Below are 20,652 nucleotides of genomic sequence, written 5' to 3'. Positions count from 1 at the left end.
TCCTTTTTAAACACAAAACAACAAACCTCCACTAGCATTTTATACAAGGAGAGAAACTCCACAAGAGAAGAGACTTTGGTGATGACCAAAACATAAAAGAAATAAAACTAAAATTGCTTGATACCTAGAACCTAGAGCAGAGCCTTGCACAAAGAAGATTCTCAATAAATACTCCTTAATTCAACAAGTATCAGAACATGAAAGAATCATGTTCTATTATAGGTCTCTTGAAAAGATTCCATATGAAAAGATTGTTTTAGCTTACTTTTCTTATTCCCCTACTCAAAATTGTAGCCAAACCTCAATGAATTAACATGCCAGAGGACCCTTTTCAATTAATTTTATAATTAATTTCAGATTAAATGAGAAAATGTTTTTAATTTTAAATTTATTTATTTATTTATTTATTTTTTTTGAGACAGGGTCTTGCTCTGTCCCCCAGGCTGGAGTGCAGTAGTGCAATCTCGGCTCACTGTAGCCTCTGCCTCCTGGGCCCAAACAATCCTCATAAGTAGCTGGGACTACAGCCATGCGCCCCCACACTCAGCTAATTTTTAAACTTTCAGTAGATACCACCTTAAGCTGGTCTTAAACTTCTGAGCCCAAGCGATCTACCAGCCTCAGCCTCCCAAAGTGCTGGGATAACAGGTGTGAGCCACCATGCCTGGCCAATAATCTTTCTCAAATATACCTTTTCATAGGTTCCTTTCCCTGCTTGTTCAGTAATTCTCTACTCAGAAATCTGCATACTTTTAACTACTACATTATTTATACTAATTCCTTCTATATTAAATTTATTTTATGTAAGAAATTGTGGATGTTTTTCATTTTTTAACTGTGATAATTATGCACGTAACATAAAACATACCATTAGTGACATTTAGTACATTCTCAATGTTGTATGACCAGCATGATTATCTAGCTGCAGAATATTGTCAGCACCGCAGAAGAAAACCCTATACCCATTAAAGCAGTTATTCCCATTCCTCCCATTCCCCAGTCCCTGGGAACCACTCATTTGCCTTCTGTCTCCATGGACCTGCCTATTCTAGACATTTCACATAAAGGAACCCTACAACATGTGACCTTTTGTGTGTGGCTTCTTTCACAAGCATAATGTTTTCAAGGTTCATCCATGTTGTAGCATGATCACAACGTCATTCCCTTCTCTGTCTGAATAATATTCCATGGTATGGATAGACCACACTTAGTTTATCCCTTCATCAGTTGATGGATATTTGGATAACATGTTGTCACCTTCTGTCTATTGAGAATAGTGCTGCTAATGAACATTGAGTACAAGTTTTCGAGCACCTGTTGACAATTCTTCCAAGTACAAACCCTGGAGTGGTATTGCTGGGTTATATGATAATTCTACGTTTAATTTATGGAGGAACTGCCAAACTGTCTATAGTGGCTGCACTATTTTCCATTCCCACCAGCAACATGTGAGGGCTCCAGTTTCTCCACATCCTCACTGTCGCTTGCTACTCTCCTTTTTAAGTTTATTATTATAGCCCTCCCAGTGGGTGTGAGATGGCTATCTCATTGTTTTGATTTTCATTTCTGTAATCACTAATTATATTAAGCATCTTTTCATCTGCTTGTTGGCCATTTGCATATCTTCTTTGGAGAAATGTCTATCAAATCCTTTGCCCATTTTAAAATTGTGCCATTTGTCTTTTTATTACTGAGTTTTAAGAACTGTTTGGGCCCAGGCACAGTGGTTCATGCCTATAGTCTCAGCACCTTGGGAGGCAAAGGCAGGCGAATGGCTTGAGCCCAGGAGTTTGAGACCAGCTTGGGCAACATGGTGAAACCTTGTCTCTACAAAATATACAAAAATTAGCTGGGCATAGTGGTACACCCCTGTAGCCCCAGCTACTCGAGAGGCTGAGGCAGGAGGATCAAACGAGCCAAGGAGATTGAGGCTGCAGTGAGTCATGACTGTGCCACTGCCCTCCACCGCAGGTGACAGAGCAAGGCCCTGTCTCAAAATGAAATAAAATTACAAACAAGCATTCTTTATATATTCTGGATACTGAACCCTTATTAGAAATATGATTTACAAATATTTTCTCCCATTCTGTGGGTTGTCTTTTTTCACTTTTTTTTTTTTTTTTTTGAGACAGAGTCTTGCTCTGTCGCCCAGGCTACAGTACAATGGCGCGATCTTGACTCACTGCAACCTCCGCCTCCCAGGTTCAAGCAATTCTCTTGCCTCAACCTCCCGAGTAGCTGGGATTACAGGCACCTGCCACCACGCCCACCTAATTTTGTATTTTAGTAGAGATAGGGTTTCGCCACGTTGGTCAGGCTGGTTGCAAATTCCTGACCTCAGGTGATCCACCCACCTCAGCCTCCCAAAGTGCTGAGATTACAGGCATCAGCCACTGCGTCCAGCCCTTTTTTCACATTCTTGATATGTTATTTGATGTACGAAAGTTTTTGTTTTTGATGTAGTCCAATTTATTTTTAAAATTGGAAAGTCTGAGTCTTACAACTTTGTTCTTTTTCAGACTGTTTTGGCTATTCAGAGCCTCTTGTAATTCCATATTAATTTTAGGATAACCTTTTCCCTCTTTACAACAAAGACCACTGACATTTTGATAGGGATTGCACTGAATCTACATATTGCTTTGGGTGATACCTACATCTTAACAGTATTTAGTATTCCATTCTATGAACCTGGAATATCTTTCAATGTGTGTAGGTTTACTTTGATTTCTTTCAGCAATGTTTTACAGTTTTCAGCATACAAATCTTGCAGCTCCTTGGCTAAATTTATTCTTAAGTGTTTTATGACTTTTGATGCTATTGTAAATGAAATTGATCTCTTAACTGCATTTTTCAGGCCACTTGTTGCTACAGTATAAAAATGCAACTGGTTTTTGCCTGTTGATCTAGTACCTGCAACTGCCAAATTCATTTATTACCTCTAATAGGTTTTTTGTGGATTCTTTACGATAGTCTATAAGGAATTTAGTTTTTCAGTTAGGCAGCTGGAGTTTGTTATTCAATATCTACAATTCTCTCACTACTTCTTTCAAAAGCAAATACAGAGTCTATTCAAAATGGTAAACTCAGTATTACTTCTTGATAAAAGCTTTACCAATGTAACTATAAATAAATAAAAGAGCTAGACATTTTCCCATTAATGCTTTAAAAATGTCCACTGGCTATTTGAAAAAGATTTATGAAAATTGTACTTTATGAAAATTGAAGTTGGTGAGATCACGTCTCTATTTAAAAATATTTTTAAATGAAAACTGAAGTAGATATTAGCTTGTTTCCTCATAAAATTTTACATACTTTTGACTTCCTATATTAGAAAATCATTAAGTCCTAAGAACTGATTTTATTTCTTTGAAACTATGACCAAGTGAAAACTCTATTTTAACATTTCTTTCACATTCTAAGGCTCTCTCAATCTCTCAAAAATCTCTTGTATTTTACTCTTAAATTACCTATTATTTGATGTTTTTGTGACAAGATCCAAGTTCTTTAAGTTTTAATGATAACAAAAATTGCTCACTTATCCCTTAAAATAAAATGTCAAAATCAACACTCTAAAATTGCAGTATTCAAAGGCATAGACAATAGAGTCTTGCATCCAAGTTGAAGAGAATATAATTTTTTAGGAGGAAAAAAGGGCTATTTTATAACTAAGATTTCATAAACTATATTATATATACATATATTTTTTCTAGCACCTTAGTAATTCTTGTTAAGTGAAAATCATATTAGATATAAATAACCCCAGCTTATTTTTAAACTCAGTACTTTATGTTCTGTATTAATTAAATGTACCCTTAAAAATAAGTTAAATACAGTCAAGGAAACTTTCAACCATTTCTTTCCCTTATTAACAATTCTAGCAATTAAAACCTTCTTCCAGGGCTGGGCACAGTGGTGCATGCCTATAGTCCCAGCTACTCTCAAGGTTGAGGTGGGAGGGCAGCTTGAGCCCAAGAATTCGGGGACAGCCTGGGCAATATGGTGAGACCCCATCTCTTAAAAAAACAAACAAAAAACAAACCCCTTCTCCCATAGGTTCCATTTTCTTTCTAGCCTTTTAATTTTTCTTCCCTGGACCTTGTTTGTTTTCTCATAAGATACTGAAGTCAGAACTGGATAAATTAGAATATAACTCCCCACTGAGTCTGCAGAAACCACAGAACTTCAGGTAGTTCACAAACAAAATAAATCAGTGGGGAAAAAATGATGCAGCATTTCTGATCTCCTAATTAACTAATTAATCAAACTTCCAGTGATTAAATACATTGATATGGATGCTGGTAAACATCATATACTTACCTAATTCAGAAGAGAATTTCAAGTGGCCTTCTTCTGGATCTTCAACACGACTGTCTATCACATCGTCAATTTTGTTTGCTTTGAACTGTGGCTCGAGCACTCGACTTGGGCCTCGAGTGAAACGGGGATAGAATTTTTTTGGAGATGGTCCGTGGGGCCCAGACCCCTTGACGGGCACATTCTTAAGTGGCTGAGTCACTTCACTGAAGTTGAAATAAACAAAAAGCAAAACTGTCCAGGTCGCAGATGTAAAAAGGCACCCATAACAGAAATACCGAACTGTGACACTTCCCATTATAGACCTAGCATAGCTGAAGGGCCATTGTCAATTTCCTAAAAAAGAAGAATAAATATGTTAGACACTTCAGTATACTTTAAACCATCCACCAAATACAGAATCACTGTTTTCCAAACCACCAAGTAGGACCACTATGCGTACAGTTAACGGATATTCAAATACAAGAAGATGTATGGATAGTACTGAGTTTTTAAAAAGGGTTCAACAATGAAAACCTCAGGCCTGTGGGTTAATGCTCAGAGAACCAACGGCAGTGAAATAGCTGACTGATTCATTTGCCCATGTTAATGGATACTTCTTCACCTTTGTTCTGGACTGCTTTCAGTTGCGTAATTTTTCTCATCAGGTTATAATTTTCACAAGGAAAATAACAAGTACCACATGTATCATAACAGGACAACTAAAGTCTCTTCCAACCAAAGAACTGCAAGATTCTTTTTTTAATCCAAGGATCTTAAAAATCTATTATTAAAAATAAGCAACTCTAAGCAACTCTGGCCAGGTGTGGTGGCTCATGATTGTAATCCCAGCACTTTGGGAGGCTGAGGTGGGCGGATCATTTGAGGTCAGAAGTTCGAGACCAGCCTGGCCAACCTGGTGAAACCTTGTGTCTATCAAAAATACAAAAATTAGCTGAGGGTTGTGGTGGGCGCCTATAATAATCCCAGCTACTTGGGAGGCTGAGGCTGCAGAACCTCTTGAACCCGGGAGGCGGAGGTTGTGGTGAGCCAAGATTGCACCACTGTACTCTGGCCTGGGCAACCGAGCAAGACTCTGTCTCAAAACAATAAAAATAAATAAATATAAACAACTTAAAAAAAATTCTACTTTCCAATCAAAGGTTATGCCTGCCCTAGTGTGCACTCTAAATCTAAGTTATTTTCAAATAAAGAGTTCAAGTAATTATATTCCCTCACCTATAAAACAAGGCAAGAAGAACTAAATGTAGCACTGAACAGCAATTTTTCCTAAGCTTTTTTTTTTTTTTTCCTTTTTAAGACAGAGTCTCACTCTGTCACCCAGGCTGGAGTAAAGTGGTGGGATCTTGGCTCACTGCAACCTCTGCCTCCCGAGTTCAAGTGATTCTCCTGCCTCAGCCTCCCAAGTAGCTGGGATTACAGGTGCGTGCCACCATACCTGGCTAGTTTTTGTATTTTTAGTAGAGATGGGGTTTCACCATGTTGGCCAGGCTGCTCTCAAACTCCTGACCTCAGGTGATCTGCCCGCCTTGGCCTCCCAAAGTGCTGGGATTACAGGCGTGAGGCCACCGTGCCTGGCAATTTCTCCTAAGCTTTCTGATATCTGATCTTCATGGAGGCTAATACAATTTCCTAAGGAATTCTAAGGAGCCCAATGCACATATAAAATCATCTCAGTAAACAGACTTATGGCAGAGAAACCATATAAGCAATGTAGATACATAAGAAAACTGCACAGAGATACTGCTTTTAAGTTACTTATTTCTACAGCATAAAATAATCTTAAAAATGGTATTGTCCCCAAAAGATCAGGACAAAGCAAACTGGCATCAGTAAAGCACCACTGTAAAAATTAGGTTCTCTTGTACAAGGTTATGCCATAAGCCTAGAAGATGGTAAACAGTTCAGTTTCTTAACTGTCTGCCAACCAAGAACTATTAAGTATTCTACTACAAGTTAATTAAAAAGTAAAAAAACAAAACAACAGTAACATACCAAAACAAAACAAAAACCCAACCAAACAAAAACTCCCACCAACAGTAATACCAGAGGCATGGCTGGAAATGACAATAGTACAAAGGAAAATCAGGCGCCAGTGAAAGCGCTGCTATGTCAGCTGCAGGTACTTTTAAAACTAAAGACATAAACAGAAAAACACAAATACTTGAAGTAGAAGAAAATGTTCTCTAAGTAAGGAAGCCCATGAGAGCAAATGAAAAGACAAAAAAAAATTGCAATGTGCAACTTTGTAACAAAAATATTGCAACAAAAATGTACAGAGCAGTGACATTTAGGGGAAACAGACATTATAACTCCCTAAAATGTTCGCTTAGGGTAGACAAAGAGCAAGTAAACAAACAACAAAAACAAAAGCACTGCTTCTTCCACAGGCCATGAGATCCTGAAGTTAAAGAGTGTAACCGGACAGGCTGCTCTGAATCCACGAGGAACCAGGCACCTAGGGAGCCAACCCCTTCTTCATCCATATAGCAAGGTCCACGCTTACAGGTTGTTTTCCTCAAACCACTCCCGGCCTTCCCGCTTCCACCATGGGCTGCTTGGCCCTCACAAAAGGGAACCATCCAAAACAGACCCTGAAGAAACCAAGAGCTACTCCATTAGCAGCTATGAAAGATGGACACTGATGTCGTTTCTCGTGTTTTCTTTAGCCTGATTCCCACTATCATGTTGGACCATGCCCAACCCTGCCTCCAAATGTCTTGGTTAGTGTTCCTGCTGTCACCTTTACCTAAATTCCACATAAGGAACTTTGCCCCACCCTCAATTTCATCATCATCCAGGACTGATGTGATGACCTCTTCATGTCTAAGTTGAAACTTTCCTCTCCGGCTGGGGGCGGTGGCTCACACCTCTAATTCTAGGACTTTGGAAGGCTAAAGTGGGCAGATCACCTGAGGTTGGGAGTTGGAGACCAGCCTGGGCAACATGGTGAAACCCCGTCTCTACTAAAAATACAAAAAATTAGGGCCGGGCGCGGTGGCTCACGCCTGTAATCCCAGTACTTTGGGAAGCCGAGGTGGGCGGATCACAAAGTCAGGAGTTTGAGACCAGCCCGGCCAACATGGTGAAACCCTGTCTCTACTAAAAATACAAAAAATTAGCGGGACGTGGCGGCGCACACCTGTAATTCCAGCTACTCGGGAGGCTGAGGCAGGAGAATCGCTTGAACCCGGGAGGGGGAGGTTGCAGTGAGCCGAGATCGCGCCATTGCAATCTAGCCGGGGTGACAATGCGAGACTCCGACTCACACACAAAAATAATAATAATAATAAAATAAATATATATATAAATTAGCCAGGTGTGGTGGCGGGCGCCTGTAATCCCAGCTACTTGGGTGGCTGAGGCAGGAGAAATTGCTTGAACCCGGGAGCAGAGGTTGCAGTGAGCCGAGATCGCACCACTGCATTCCAGCTTGGGCGACAGAGTGAGACTCCACATGAAAAAAACAACAACAACAACAACAAAAACTCCCTCTCCAACCACAACCCTGACTCCTCAGCTGCATCTACCCCTATGTCTTCAGTCTCATGACAGGCAAAGTCCGGGCACTCAGCCCTCCCCACTTCCCTTATGATTTAATTCTATTTCAGTCTCCAGCTATACACCCCATAATGGCTTTACTTCCTTCTCTATCCAGCTGGGAACACTGTGTTAAATAATACATTAGAAAGTGATAAGTGCTGAGGAAAGAAAATAAAGCAGGAAGAGCAACGAGGAGAAGAAGGTGTGTGAAGCTTCAGGAAGATGGAGAGGGAAGGCCTCCCTGAAAACGTGATACTTGTGTCAAGACGTAAACTGAATAGTGAGTACTGCAGCTATCTGGGGAAGAGCTATGCAGGGTGGGGTGGGGTGGGGGGGTGGGGGAATAAGAGCAAAGGCTCTTGAGGAGTGCGACCAGTGGGGTCAAGGAGCCACATGCTGTGACCAAGACAAGTACACTAAAAACCAATGGTAACGAAGTAACTAGAAAGGTTACAAAATGTGCAAATGAACACTACAGAGATTTCTACAGAACCTAAGTAGTGAAAATACAACTTTTTTAAAACCCATAGGATATGGCTAAATTTATAGCTTTTGATGCCTATATTAGAAAACATGACCACAAACTATGAATTAAGAAAAATATAACTGAATAAACCCAAGGAACATAAAAGAATAATAAAAGCATTATCAGGAATTAATAGAAAATGAAAATAAAACAACAGAAGCCAAATGCTGGTTCTTTAAAAGATCAGTAAAATTAATAAAATGAAACTGCCTTTGCAAAATTGTGACAGTAGAAGAAATCTGACATAGCTGACCTCCAAACTGTCCCTGGTCACTCCTGGGTGTATGCCAAGCTAACTTTAGGAGAAATGTGGTTTCCAGTTTAACTTAGGAGCAAGGATGATAACAGCCCCTCCCTATAACTAGCCCCTTTCCTTGATCAGGGACTGAAAACCACCTTTGTAAGCAAGAATATGATAATGGGAACTGGAAGGGCCTAAACTCCACAGAAATGTAGGTGTAGTTTCTATAATCCCTTACTGCTCGGGAGTCATGTGGCCAGACGTCGCAAAATTCATGACTTCCTCGATTGTTCCTATAGATAACATCATTATTGTAGAACCTGTAGAAAGTAAAAAGTTCCTCTTCAAAGTTTCCCTTCTTGTTAAAGAGTAAATCATAAGTGTTAGAAATAATAGTTTATTTTAAAGACTAACTTCCTTCAAGCCTCTTCACTTTATGCTAATAACTCTTTGTTAAGCCCTATCCTATGTAGCTGTTAAACATGCTCACAGGTGCATAGTACATTCTATGTCCTTGTACCTTAACCAAAATATTTGTGCTGGACATGCTCACGGGCACGTTCCAGCTCGCAGCCTATGCCCCTTCCCTATTTGGCATAAGCAACTTCCTCTTTTCCTTTGTCTTTCCATTACTTTTACCTATTTAGAAAAGTTTTAAACTGTTAGCCAATCGGGTTTTAGTTTAGATTGCGCGGTCTGGCTCCAGCCAATGGAGACAGGACACAGTAGCAGGAACAAACAGCATAAGGGATAAAAATTACGTCTTTCCTTTGTTCGAATGTGCTCTCGCCATTGTTCCAACTGCGATGAGCACCCTTTCTGCAGAAAATACAGATTGCCTTGCTGAGAGAATTAAATTTATATTTGAGTGCTATTTCTTTATGGCACCAGGGAACAAACATTTTACATATAACAAACCTAAGATTGTTTTTTTGAGATATCTTTCAGACAGATCCTACCCAGGCTTGTGACTCATGACTCAACTGGTCCCAGAGGTGAACTCTGTGCACAAAGACTGTTGTCCACCCCCCTATGATTTCATCCCCAACCCATCAGCCACACTCGTTCCCTAGCCCCCTGCCCACCAAACTGTCCATAAAAACCCTAAACTCTGAGCCCTCAGGAAAATGGATTTGAGTGATAAGCCCAGTTCTCCTGCATGGGCCAGCTTCACATGAATGAAGTTCTTTCTTGACTGCAATGCTATGGTCTCAGGGTATGATTTTGTCTGTGGAGTGGGCAGGAAGAACCCATCGGGCAACTACACAAGCACTGGCAAAACATATCAAGAAAAATGCACAAATAAGACGACAATGAGAAAGAGGCATAAATACAGACACAGACTGAAAACAGGAGCACTGTTTACAAATTCAGGTGAAATGATCAAATTCCTAGAAAAACATAAATGCATAACACCAACTCTGGAAAATCAGGAACCTGGATGCCCTGTAGTACCTTTGAATGTTAAACTATCATAAAAACATTTCTAGGTGATTTTAAAAGTGAGTTCTACCAAGTATCTAAGGAACAGATGGTTTTAGGTAGATGCAATGACCTTCAGAGGACAGAAAATGAGGAAAGATTCTCCATGTCCCTTTCTGAGGCTGTTACCACTCTGATATCAAAATAAGGGCAGTTTAAGGAAAGAATATTAAAGACAATCTCAGAGAGATTACAGAAATCTTAAAAAAAAAAAAAACCCTGAAACCAACCATGTTTTTAAAAACTGAATATACCATAAACAAGTTGTATTTACTTCAAGTACTCAAAGTTGGTCCAATATTTGAAAAACCATAATCTACCACCTTCATAAATTAAAAGAAAAAAAACCCAAATGGTTTTATCAATGGAGATAAAGAGTTTATTACAATTCAACACTCAATTCTTAACAAACTAGGAAAAATAGGGAAATCTTTGCCTGACAAAGAGCATCTCTAAAAATCTGGTAGCAAACATGATACTAAACAATGAAACAACAAAACCATTTTCTTTAAAAATAAAAGACAAAGGTTCCTATAATCACTTGTATCACACTACCATAAATATAATAATGGAGGGTGGTAGTTTCAAAATACAGAAATCCTTGGAGTATTTATTAAAAATACAGATTCCCAGGGCTCCACGCCAGCTATGCTAAATGGGAATTCCCAGAGATAAGGTTAAGGAATCTTTAGCTTAAACAAGCCTCCAAGTTAACTCTGATGCACAGCCAGATTTGGGAATCAATGGTATAATGAAAAGATAAGACTGAATTCTAATCCCATTCTGCCATATATCAGTAATGCAACTTTGGAAAAATTAGCAGATTTTCTTAGCCTCATTTTCATCAACTGTATTCCAAGTTAATGACATTGTCCATCTTATTGGATACTCAGAATCAAATGAAATACTCAGAATTACACAAGGTAAAATATGTAAAGTGTCAGATACAATGACTGACACACAAAACACCACCCTTTGCACTGAACCAAGATAGTCTTCACAAGGACTGTGGCTTGCATTTGCTGTTTGTTTTCTTGTTTAATGTTTTCCCTTCACTTAGCACAATGAATAGCCCACAGAAAGTGCTGAAAAGTATCTATAGGATGAATATAGTAAAAACTGAACAAATATTAATTTTTTGTCATTAGATCTAGACTTAACATATAATATCAATGGTAGACATGACCACCCATCTGCTCCCTACAAAGACCTGCAAGTCCCTACGTAATCTGGCATTACCTCTCTGAGCACTTTTCCCACCACCTTCTCTCTGCATTCATTTTGTCCTAGACACAGGTCTCCTTGTGGGTCAAACATTTCAATTACACTCCATTATGGACTATGCACTGGCTCTTCACTTAGTCTAGAACACTCTTCCTCCCAGGTAATTTCATGATGACTTCTTTCACTGCCATTGAATCTTTGCTCGAATATCTTCTTCTCAATAAGGCCCTACCAAGATTACCCTATTTAAAACTTCAATCCACCCACTAAACATTAAACCTGGTCTTCCTTATTCCATGGAATTTATCACCTTCTTACGTATACATAATTACTTATTCCCTGAGTTTATTATTTATTGTTTATCTCTCCCATACCAGGAAGTAAGCTCCAATAGGGAAAGAGCTTTTGTCTATCCCTGGAGATTATAATAATGCGTAGAATATAGCAACAATTTAATAAATATTTGTTAATAAATGAAAAAAATTACTGTAATATGGTTAGCAACATGCTTGCAAATTTCTAAACAAATCTGTTACTATCTTGTTTGGGCTAAGCAATACCTTAATACTATGCATAGAGGTCATGACCATCTTATTCAACAATAGTATAAAAACTAGCACAGAACAACAGCCATGTTTATTTTTGGAAAAGGTACAAGAAACAACTCAGGAATTTATTGTCTCATTTCAAAACTTAAATAATGGTCTTTGTGATAAAAACAGGCAGACTAATCTTACAGAATTCACTGACAACAACAAATAAACAAAAAACCCGGGAAACTACTTTCCTTAGGTTCACTCTTGGCTACCTGCCAGCACCTAAGGGCAAAATGAAAAAGTTTTCTGCTCAAAGACCTCACCAACAGGATTTGGCTAACTCTGTCCAGATTCTCCATGGAATAACCACCCTGGCTCATCCTATCCACAACAGCTCAACATCATGATTCCTTGGTTTCCTGAGCTGTAAAATATACTAACTTTCAACAACTCTATCAGGCAGATGTTATTCTTTTTCCCAAACCATATTATAATTCTTTAGAGAGTATTTTTTACATAGTAAATCGTAAGACTAAATTTAAAAACATATACATTTATAAAATCCCATCATTTCTTTTATACAATTAAGCATAATGGTATTCAGAAGCAATAAAGGAACTATCTGTTTTCGGATAGGTCAAGAAGTTAGGGCTGGGCGCGGTGGCTCTCGCTTGTAATCCCAGAACTTTGGTAGGCCAAGGTGGGTAGATCACCTGAGATCTGGAGTTCAAGACCAGCCTGGCCAACATAGTAAAACCCCGTCTCAACTTAAAAAAATACAAAAATTGGGCCGGGTGTGGTGGCTCACACCTGTAATCCCAGCACTTTGGGAGACTGAGGTGGGCAGATCACGAGGTCAGGAGATTGAAACCATCCTGGCCAACATGGTGAAACCCCATGTCTACTAAAAATACAAAAATTAGCTGGGCATGGTGGCACGTGCCTCTAATCCCAGCTACTCAGGAGGCTGAGGCAGGAGAATCGCTTGAACCAGGGACTCAGAGGTTGCAGTGAGCCGAGGTTGCACTACTGCACTCCAGCCTGGCAACAGAGCGAGACTCCATCTCAAAAAAAAAAACAAAAAACAAAAACTAGCCAGGTGTGGTGGCACACACCTATAATCCCAGCTACTCTGGATGCTGAGGATTCTGAGCATCGCTTGAACCCAGGAGGCAGAGGTTGCAGTGAGTCAAGATCATGCCATGCACTCCAACCTGGGCAAGAGAGCGAGACTGTCTCCAAAAATAAAAAAAAGAAGCCAACACCCAAATATGAAGGAAATGCAAAGAAATCAGATGTCTATTATTCAATAAATTTCTCACCTGCTTAAGAAACTAAAAACATCCAAACAAAAATCAAAAGCTAAAACTTTAATCTACACTAATAATGAATGATGAATCTAGTATCTACACAACAAAATCTTTGTGTTTCATACTGTTTGCTATCCCTTCTAAAGGCAATTACCCAGGCCTTTAATATCCAAGTCTGAAAGCCTTTGAAAAGAGAGTCAAAGCAAGTATCTCAGGTTACTTAAGGCAAAACAACTAGTGACAAATTCTTTCAATCATAAACTTGAATAGTTAATAGGGCCAAAACTTCAGCAGTTAGACATCAACTAATACGTTCTTCAAAGTTAAATGAATAAAAGGCTAACCAGTTGTGAACTTGAATTTATTAAAGTGAGACAAGTCACTATGGTTTTACGTTTTTCTTCAGTCATGGTCTGGTAGCTGCTCAGGGATAGGTGCCTTGTAAGCTGAGACGTGGGTTTTTGCCAGGGAGGTACAACAGTACAGGAATGGGGCAAGGTATATGCAGTGGGATGATTATGACAAATCACAGATTTAAGCCAGGGAAACAGAGATGTGAGGATGTGGAAGTATGAGGCAAGATGAAAAATGTGGATAGGCCTATGGATTAGAGGACCTGGTGTGGCCAAATAATTGCTGGAGTTGTTACCAGACAGAGGGAACCAGAAAGGTGAAATGTCATGGCTGGAAAATGAGATGCTCAACATTGTGACTTTGGAGGGGGACATTGACAGCAGAATCATCCTTTACAGGTATGTGAACCCAAGATATCCCAACAGACAATTTGCCTGTAGGGTAAGCACTGCTATACTTACCATAAACAAGCCCCCTGAGGACAGAGATCATTTCCATCTTTTCAGCCCCATATATTTAGCATAGCGCTTAGTATTAACAATTAATACATACTTGTTTGTATAATTTTTGAAGTGTATTTCTGTTCCAGAAGAGGTTAAAGGACATTGTTCACATTCTGTGCAATGCGAAATCTTAGAGAAGAGTATAATGTGTGAGCAGACCACATCCTCGGAAATGAATGCTTATTGTGAAGAAGGAGAGGCAAGAAAGACGGCTAACCAGTTTAAACAGTTTCATTAGACGGTTTCATTATGAAACAAAATACTCAACACGCCAACAAAAGTACGAAGTCTTCCTCTTAGTCCATGATTTCTTAACAATAAATTTGAAAACACTGTGAGAGAAAATATTTAAAAGAGGTGATTTTGTATAGTTCTAACAAAATCAACTTGAAAATGTAAAAGTTTTTTTTTTTTTTTTTTTTTTTTAAAGAGACAGGGTCTCCCTCTGTTGCCCGGGCTAGACTCAAACTCCACACTCTAGGCTCAAGTCATCATCCTCTCAGCCTCCTGAATAGCTGGGATTACAGGTGTGCACCACTACACCTAGCTAGAAGAGAGTAACTTTTAAAGAAAATACAACTTATTAAAATTGACCCCAGTCCCAAAGAAAGTCATAAAAGAGTTCCCCAAAAAAACCCCAAAATAAAAACACCAAAGAAAAAAATAAAAAACAACAACAAAAACAAACTACCAGGCACAGAGAAGAGTGTCAGAGGAAATCCTACTGCTACTTAAGCCAAATATTTTTTTAAAGGAAAGCTTCCCAATTTGTTTTATGAAATGAACATAACATTGATTTCAAAGACCTGACAAAGACTGAACCTCCCCCACAAAAAGTCTCATTTATGAATATCAAGACAAACATCTTAAATACTAAACACAAATTTAACAATAAACGTCTAAAACATTTATGAGGAAAACAATAAGAAGCTCCAAAAGGTCCCAAAGGAAGACCTGAACTAATGGAAAGATGTACATGCCATATTCTTGGATAAAAAGACACAAAATCCTAATAAATACGTCATTTCTCCCTAAGTTAACTTGTAAGTGCTACACAATCATGTTAAATATATTATCAGGTTTTTTTTTCTGGAGCTAGACAAGTTAATTATAAAGTTCATTTGGAAAAGAATAAATAAGCAGGGAATAGCCAGGTAAACTTTGGAAAAAGAACTAGTGGGGTGTGAGCCCCACTGCAGAACAAGTGAACTCCAGGGCTTCTCTATCCAAACAGCGCAGCAGGGCCCACGCACAGACAGACAAACCAATGGGAAAAGAAGAGAAAAAAGACCCAATTACATTTAGAAATTTAGAAATCTAATATGTTTGCTATAAATAAATTTAGTATAAGCTTAGTATAAATAAAGAAAACATCACAAACCTGAGAGGAAATGAATGACTTTCAACTAAATGATGTCAGAACAACTGTTTAGCCATAAGGAAAAACAACAGAGTCTACTCCTCCCATCATTTATCCCGAAAACTGGATATTTAATTATAAAACATGACTCCATACAAGTACTAGAAGAGAATATGAGTAAATTCCTCTATTATCTGGGATTGGGCAAAATTTTTCTAGCTAGGACTAAAAAAGATCAGAATATAGGAAAAGAAACTGGATTACATAAAGACAAAAAACTTTGGATACTAAAAGACACCAAAAGAAAAGTAAAAAGACAAGTGACAAACTAGAAAAAATACTCACAATTGGTATCACAGACAAAAGAGTAATATCTCAGTGTTGGTTTTCTATTGCTATGTAATTACCACAATTACTGGGGGTCACCTTAGGGTCTGTGAGCCACAATCTCAAATAGAGATTCTAAAAATAAAGGACCAACAACCTTACAAACCATTCACAGAACAGAAACACAAATAGTTCTTAGCTATATGAAAAAATGCTCAAACCTGCTTATACTAAGAGAAGTGCAAATTTAAATTACATTGAAATATCATTTCCCACCCGATCAAACTGAAAAAATCCAAAAGCTTGACAACATATTCTGAGAGTGAGGCTGTAGGGAAGCTTTCATACATGTGTAAAAACCAAAGGAGAGTTTCCTCTTCAAAAACTTTCCTCCCCATCTAATTAGGAATAAATAGTAACTTCTCTTAGCAGCAAAATTTATTCAAAGACCTGTGCTAACATTCTTAAATATCTGCTAGCCATAATAAAGAAATCAATGTACTTTATGTTCTTAGCTCCCACACTTTAGCCTAAATATCTGCCCTGGCATGCTTTTACTAGTCCAAGCAAGCATTAGGTCATAGCCCGTTCCTCTTCCTTATTTGAAGGTTTTTACCTTTCTCAGCATTCCACAAGTTACTTCCTCTTTCCTTTGTTCTCCTCTGCCTTTGCCTCTTTTAAAAAGTTCTAAGTTGCTAGCCAATCGGGACAAATACAGAATGTGAGGTCCCGTTCCAGCCAATGGAAACCAGACACAGCAGTAGGGTGGATGCGTCAGGTTATAAATGACCCTGTCTCCTTTGTTCGGTGTACTCTCATGGCAAAACTGCTGGTAAGTGTACCCTTTCTGCAGAAAGTAAAAATGGCCTTGCTGAGGAAATTAATGTTCAAGTGCTATTTCTTTACAGCACCGAGGAACAAGCATTTCTAACACATGGTATACCTTCTATGCAGGTTCATTTAGCAATACCCAGCAAAAATACACTATCTACTCTTTGACTTAGTAATATTACTTCCAGTAATCTAAACCACAGATGGTAAAAATAGAAAACAATATATGCATAGGCCTATTCACTACAGGACTATTTATAATAGTAAAAGGCTAAAATAAATCCCATTGTCCATTAATAAGGGGCTGGTTGAACAAACTATGAACTATCCACACAATAGAGCAATACACAGCTATACAAAGGAAAATATTTTTATTAGTTGCTAATTACAGATTAATCTGTAAATTATGTTGTCAGGTGAAAAAAGATGAGAAAAGTATATATAGGATGCTACATGTAAGTACACACACACCTGCCTATATTATAAAACAAAGGATAAAAAGAGGAAAGACAAAGCATAATATTGGGTTGGTTTCTAGCATCCCCCATAAACCATTTTAAAAAAGCTGATACCCATAAGAAGAGGAAGAAAACATAGAGTGGTATGGGGTCAGGGCTGGAAGCTGACATCATCTTTGCAGGTGAAGAGTAGCCTTACACTACTATGCAATCCAGGAAACTAGAAAAATGTGTATACAAAAACATGCAAATAACAATTTAAGCACATACATATTTTAATCTGCACAAAAAGCAAACTTTTATTGTGACTGTTAGCATCTACTGTTGTTAATATTTAAAAACTGTTGTTAATATCTAAAATGCTTTGTGGCAAACTATTTAGGTCGCAAAGGACTAAAATCTCAGCTCACCCAATTTACATTCCGGCATCATCATCAGATTAGCCTGAGGGGTGTTTCTCAACAGCACAATACCGGGCTTTGAGGTAAGAAGGCTTCTTTTGAAATGCTTTTTGTAGTCGTCCTCTATTAACAGAGGTCATAGTCCACACCAGCTATAAAACTGTGCTCCATGAAGTAGTTAAATTACATAAAGGTCACTAAGACAATGCCTGTTATGCAATGTCACTCTACAGATGATGGCTTAATTCCACTAATCTTCCAGTCTAACCAATCTAACATTTTTCAGAAATCTTAATCTTTCAGAAATCTAAATCATTTCTGAATGATTTAATGAAAATCTTAAATAATCCTAAAGAAAAGGCTAATAAACTAGGAACACAGTAGAAGATCTACAGGCAAGGCTCCATTCAGGGTGCTGGCAATTAATGGGGTTTTTTTTGTTTGTTTTTTGGTTTTTCTGAATCAGAGTTTCGCTCTTGTCGCCCAGGCTGGAGTGCAGTGGCGAGATCTTGGCTCACTGCAACCTCTGCCTCCTGGGTTCAAGCGATTCTCCTGCCTCAGCCTCCTGAGTAGCTGGGATTACAGGGGCCCGCCACCAGGCCCGGCTAATATTTTGTGTTTTTTTTTTTTATTAGAGATGGGGTTTCGCCATGTTGGACAGGCTGGTCTTGAACTCCTGACCTCAGGTGATCCTCCTGCCCAGGCCTCCCAAAGTGCTGGGATTACAGGCGTGAGCCACTGTACCTGGCCCGCAATTAATGTTTTAATAGCTTTTGCTATTGTGCTAAAAGCTCAGAAAACACAGACAAGCAAAAAGGAAACTACTTAAAAATCACCAGAAGTCTCACCACTTTAATGTTTTGCTATATAATCTACTACTTATTTTCATCTTTCTACACTATCTACAAAATGCTATACTGCTTTTGGCAACTACCAAAAAATTAATAGACTCAGGTTAGTGGCATCATGGCTAATTTTCTTTGTTCTTTCTTTTATTTAAAACATTTTCTACAAGGAATATGTAGTGATTTAATAAATGAGGTAAAAAATTTCTTAGACAGAAACTCCCTAACTTGAAAATATAAGAACAACTATGGAAAAGATTAAATACTTTAAGGCTATGAAAGAAATAGGATACCATATTATTTTAACCTCACAAGCAAAGGGGATTTCCATAGCCACAAGCACCAAGAAAAATGAGCAGGTTTAAGCACACCGAAAGAATATTTTAATTCCATCAATTTGTCAAAAATATGAGAATAAAATTTGAGTACTGAACAAATGTTCTAAAAGCACAATTTGAAGAATAGTTTTTCCTCTATGAATCACTATCTAATCTGAAATTCTTAACCACCTTTTAATGTCCATCTTTTACCACAAGACTAATGAGAAAATTCTATTTCACAGGACAGCTTTCATTTTCTACCAGAATAAACTAATTTTCATAATATTTAATGCATTTAAAATGTATTTATTTACCTTTCAGTAGTTTCCAGCTATTTTCTTGTAAGATACTCTTGCATTACAAATTGTCAAACAGCAAATATTTATTAGCTTTTTCCATAAAAGAGGCACACTCATATTTTAACTCAGCTGTAGTCATGTGAGTACAAATATTAATTTACAACAGTACAGTACCCACATACCCCTGTGAAATTACCAGGTGATGACAACATAAAAATACACATTATTCTTTCCCATTCCTTATCTACCCAGAAAGCTAGAAGAAAACATAGCTACCAATAGTAGTTTATAATTACACATAAGGCGATTGCTGAATTAGGAAAGGTTCAGAGCAAATTCCAGACATCATATGCTCCCTGGGAATGATCCTCAGACATCCCTGATATTTATGAATCTCTTCTCTGTAAGACAATCGAAAAGAACATGAATGCATCAAATGTCTAACACTGTGTCTCAAATGCAGAAGAAAACCACAAGGTAATGCTGATGGGAGAAAGAAGCAAATTTAATCAAACACATAGAAAAGAAACTAAAAGGACAAACAACATGGCAAATACCTAGAAGAGCAAAACCTGGGACAGCTGATGAGCCAGTGAATAAGGGATGGTAGAGGCTGTTATTCTTCAACACTTTGAATGAATGCCCAAGTAAAAAGTAGCAGCTCTCGCTCACTATAGACCTGTGGAAGACAAGAAGGTAAAAGCTACCTCAGGTAAAAGCTAGCCTCAGGGAGCAAGCATGAGGTCAGTAGTTTCTACCTCCTAATTCTATGAGGTAGAAAAGAACAGTAAGGAAAACAAATAATATAAATTGAAATAAAATGACTATGGGCACATGCTACTGTGTCCAGCTGTTATACATAATTATTAATAGTAGTATTAGTTAAAGGGTTTTCGCTTGCATCCTACACATACTCTTTCCTGTGTCAGCTATGCCATTCATCCGTGAGAGTCATTCTTCCCAGTCGGCAAGGGAGACAGAGTAGGAGCTACCTATAAACCATGGCTGAGTGGTGCCAGTGAGGGGCTCTGCCCCCTGACTGCCCATTATGCTGAAATTCCTGCATTATAAACTAATCCTTTGGGTCTGGAAAGCTTGCCTTTTATTTAAGATGTTCTTATCTCTCAGTCTTCAATCAAAACAGAAGTTGCATCCTTTTTGTCCAATCAAAATTTTTGGAACTCTAGCACATAAATTATTTTGTAAATGTGATTAAAAAAAACATGTAATTCATCACTTGTTAGAAAAACACTTACTCTCAGCAGAATTCTGAAAACCACTGCTAAAATTAGAAAGGAGGAGGGGAAGGAAGCTCAATCTAAGGAAAATGAATTTGCATATTACTTAGAAGTGGAAAACTTTAAGAATCACCTTATGCTATATTAAGAATCTCTTAATTCTGTGGATTGTCATCTTTCATGGGGTTTCAAAAATCTTTGCCATTATTTATTCAAATATTCCTTCCGGCCGGGCGCAGTGGCTCATGCCTATCATCCCAGCACTTTGGGAGGCCGAGGCGGGTGGATCATCTGAGGTCGGGGGTTCAAGACCAGCCTGACCAACATGGAGAAACCCTGTCTCTATTAAAAATACAAAATTTGCTGGGCATGGTGGCATACGCCTGTAATCCCAGATACTCAGGAGGCTGAGGCAGAAGAATCACTTGGATTTGGGGTAAGCCGATACTGTACCATTGCACTCCAGCCTGCGCAACAAGAGTGAAACTCTGTCTAAAAAAAACAAACACAAAAACAAATATTCCTTCTACCCCCCTCCCT

General features: G+C 38.3%; 1 protein-coding gene across 34 annotated transcripts in view, besides 1 other annotated feature; it reads right to left on the bottom strand.

Annotated features, from left to right (window-relative positions):
- The window catches only part of GALNT11 (polypeptide N-acetylgalactosaminyltransferase 11), a 96,667-nt gene that overhangs the window by 23,501 nt on the left and 52,514 nt on the right, over nt 1–20,652 (bottom strand). For 15 of the 34 annotated variants that reach the window (NR_163956.1, NR_163959.1, NR_163957.1 and 12 more), the window contains one exon: nt 4,318–4,650. The exons of 1 other annotated variant lie outside the window; for it this stretch is intronic. Coding sequence is in view for 26 of the 33 variants with exons in the window: in NM_001371458.1 (NP_001358387.1) it covers nt 4,318–4,612 (295 nt within the window). In the remaining 7 variants the exon portion in view is untranslated. 18 more of the 34 variants (NM_001371462.1, NM_001371467.1, XM_024446857.2 and 15 more) reach the window with 12 other exon arrangements.
- Nucleotides 16,588–17,582: an enhancer, noted in NCBI's record as "H3K27ac-H3K4me1 hESC enhancer chr7:151778343-151779337 (GRCh37/hg19 assembly coordinates)". NCBI's record gives its function as "activates a minimal SCP1, AML or CMV promoter by ChIP-STARR-seq in naive H9 embryonic stem cells {active_cell/tissue: H9 hESC(naive)}" and the evidence as "EXISTENCE:reporter gene assay evidence [ECO:0000049][PMID:30033119]".

The sequence above is a fragment of the Homo sapiens genome, chromosome 7 (genome assembly GCF_000001405.40).
Source record: "Homo sapiens chromosome 7, GRCh38.p14 Primary Assembly".
NCBI classification, from domain to species: domain Eukaryota; kingdom Metazoa; phylum Chordata; class Mammalia; order Primates; family Hominidae; genus Homo; species Homo sapiens.
The sequence above is the reverse complement of the archived record's forward strand: the minus strand, read 5'-3'. Positions and strand labels throughout refer to the sequence as shown.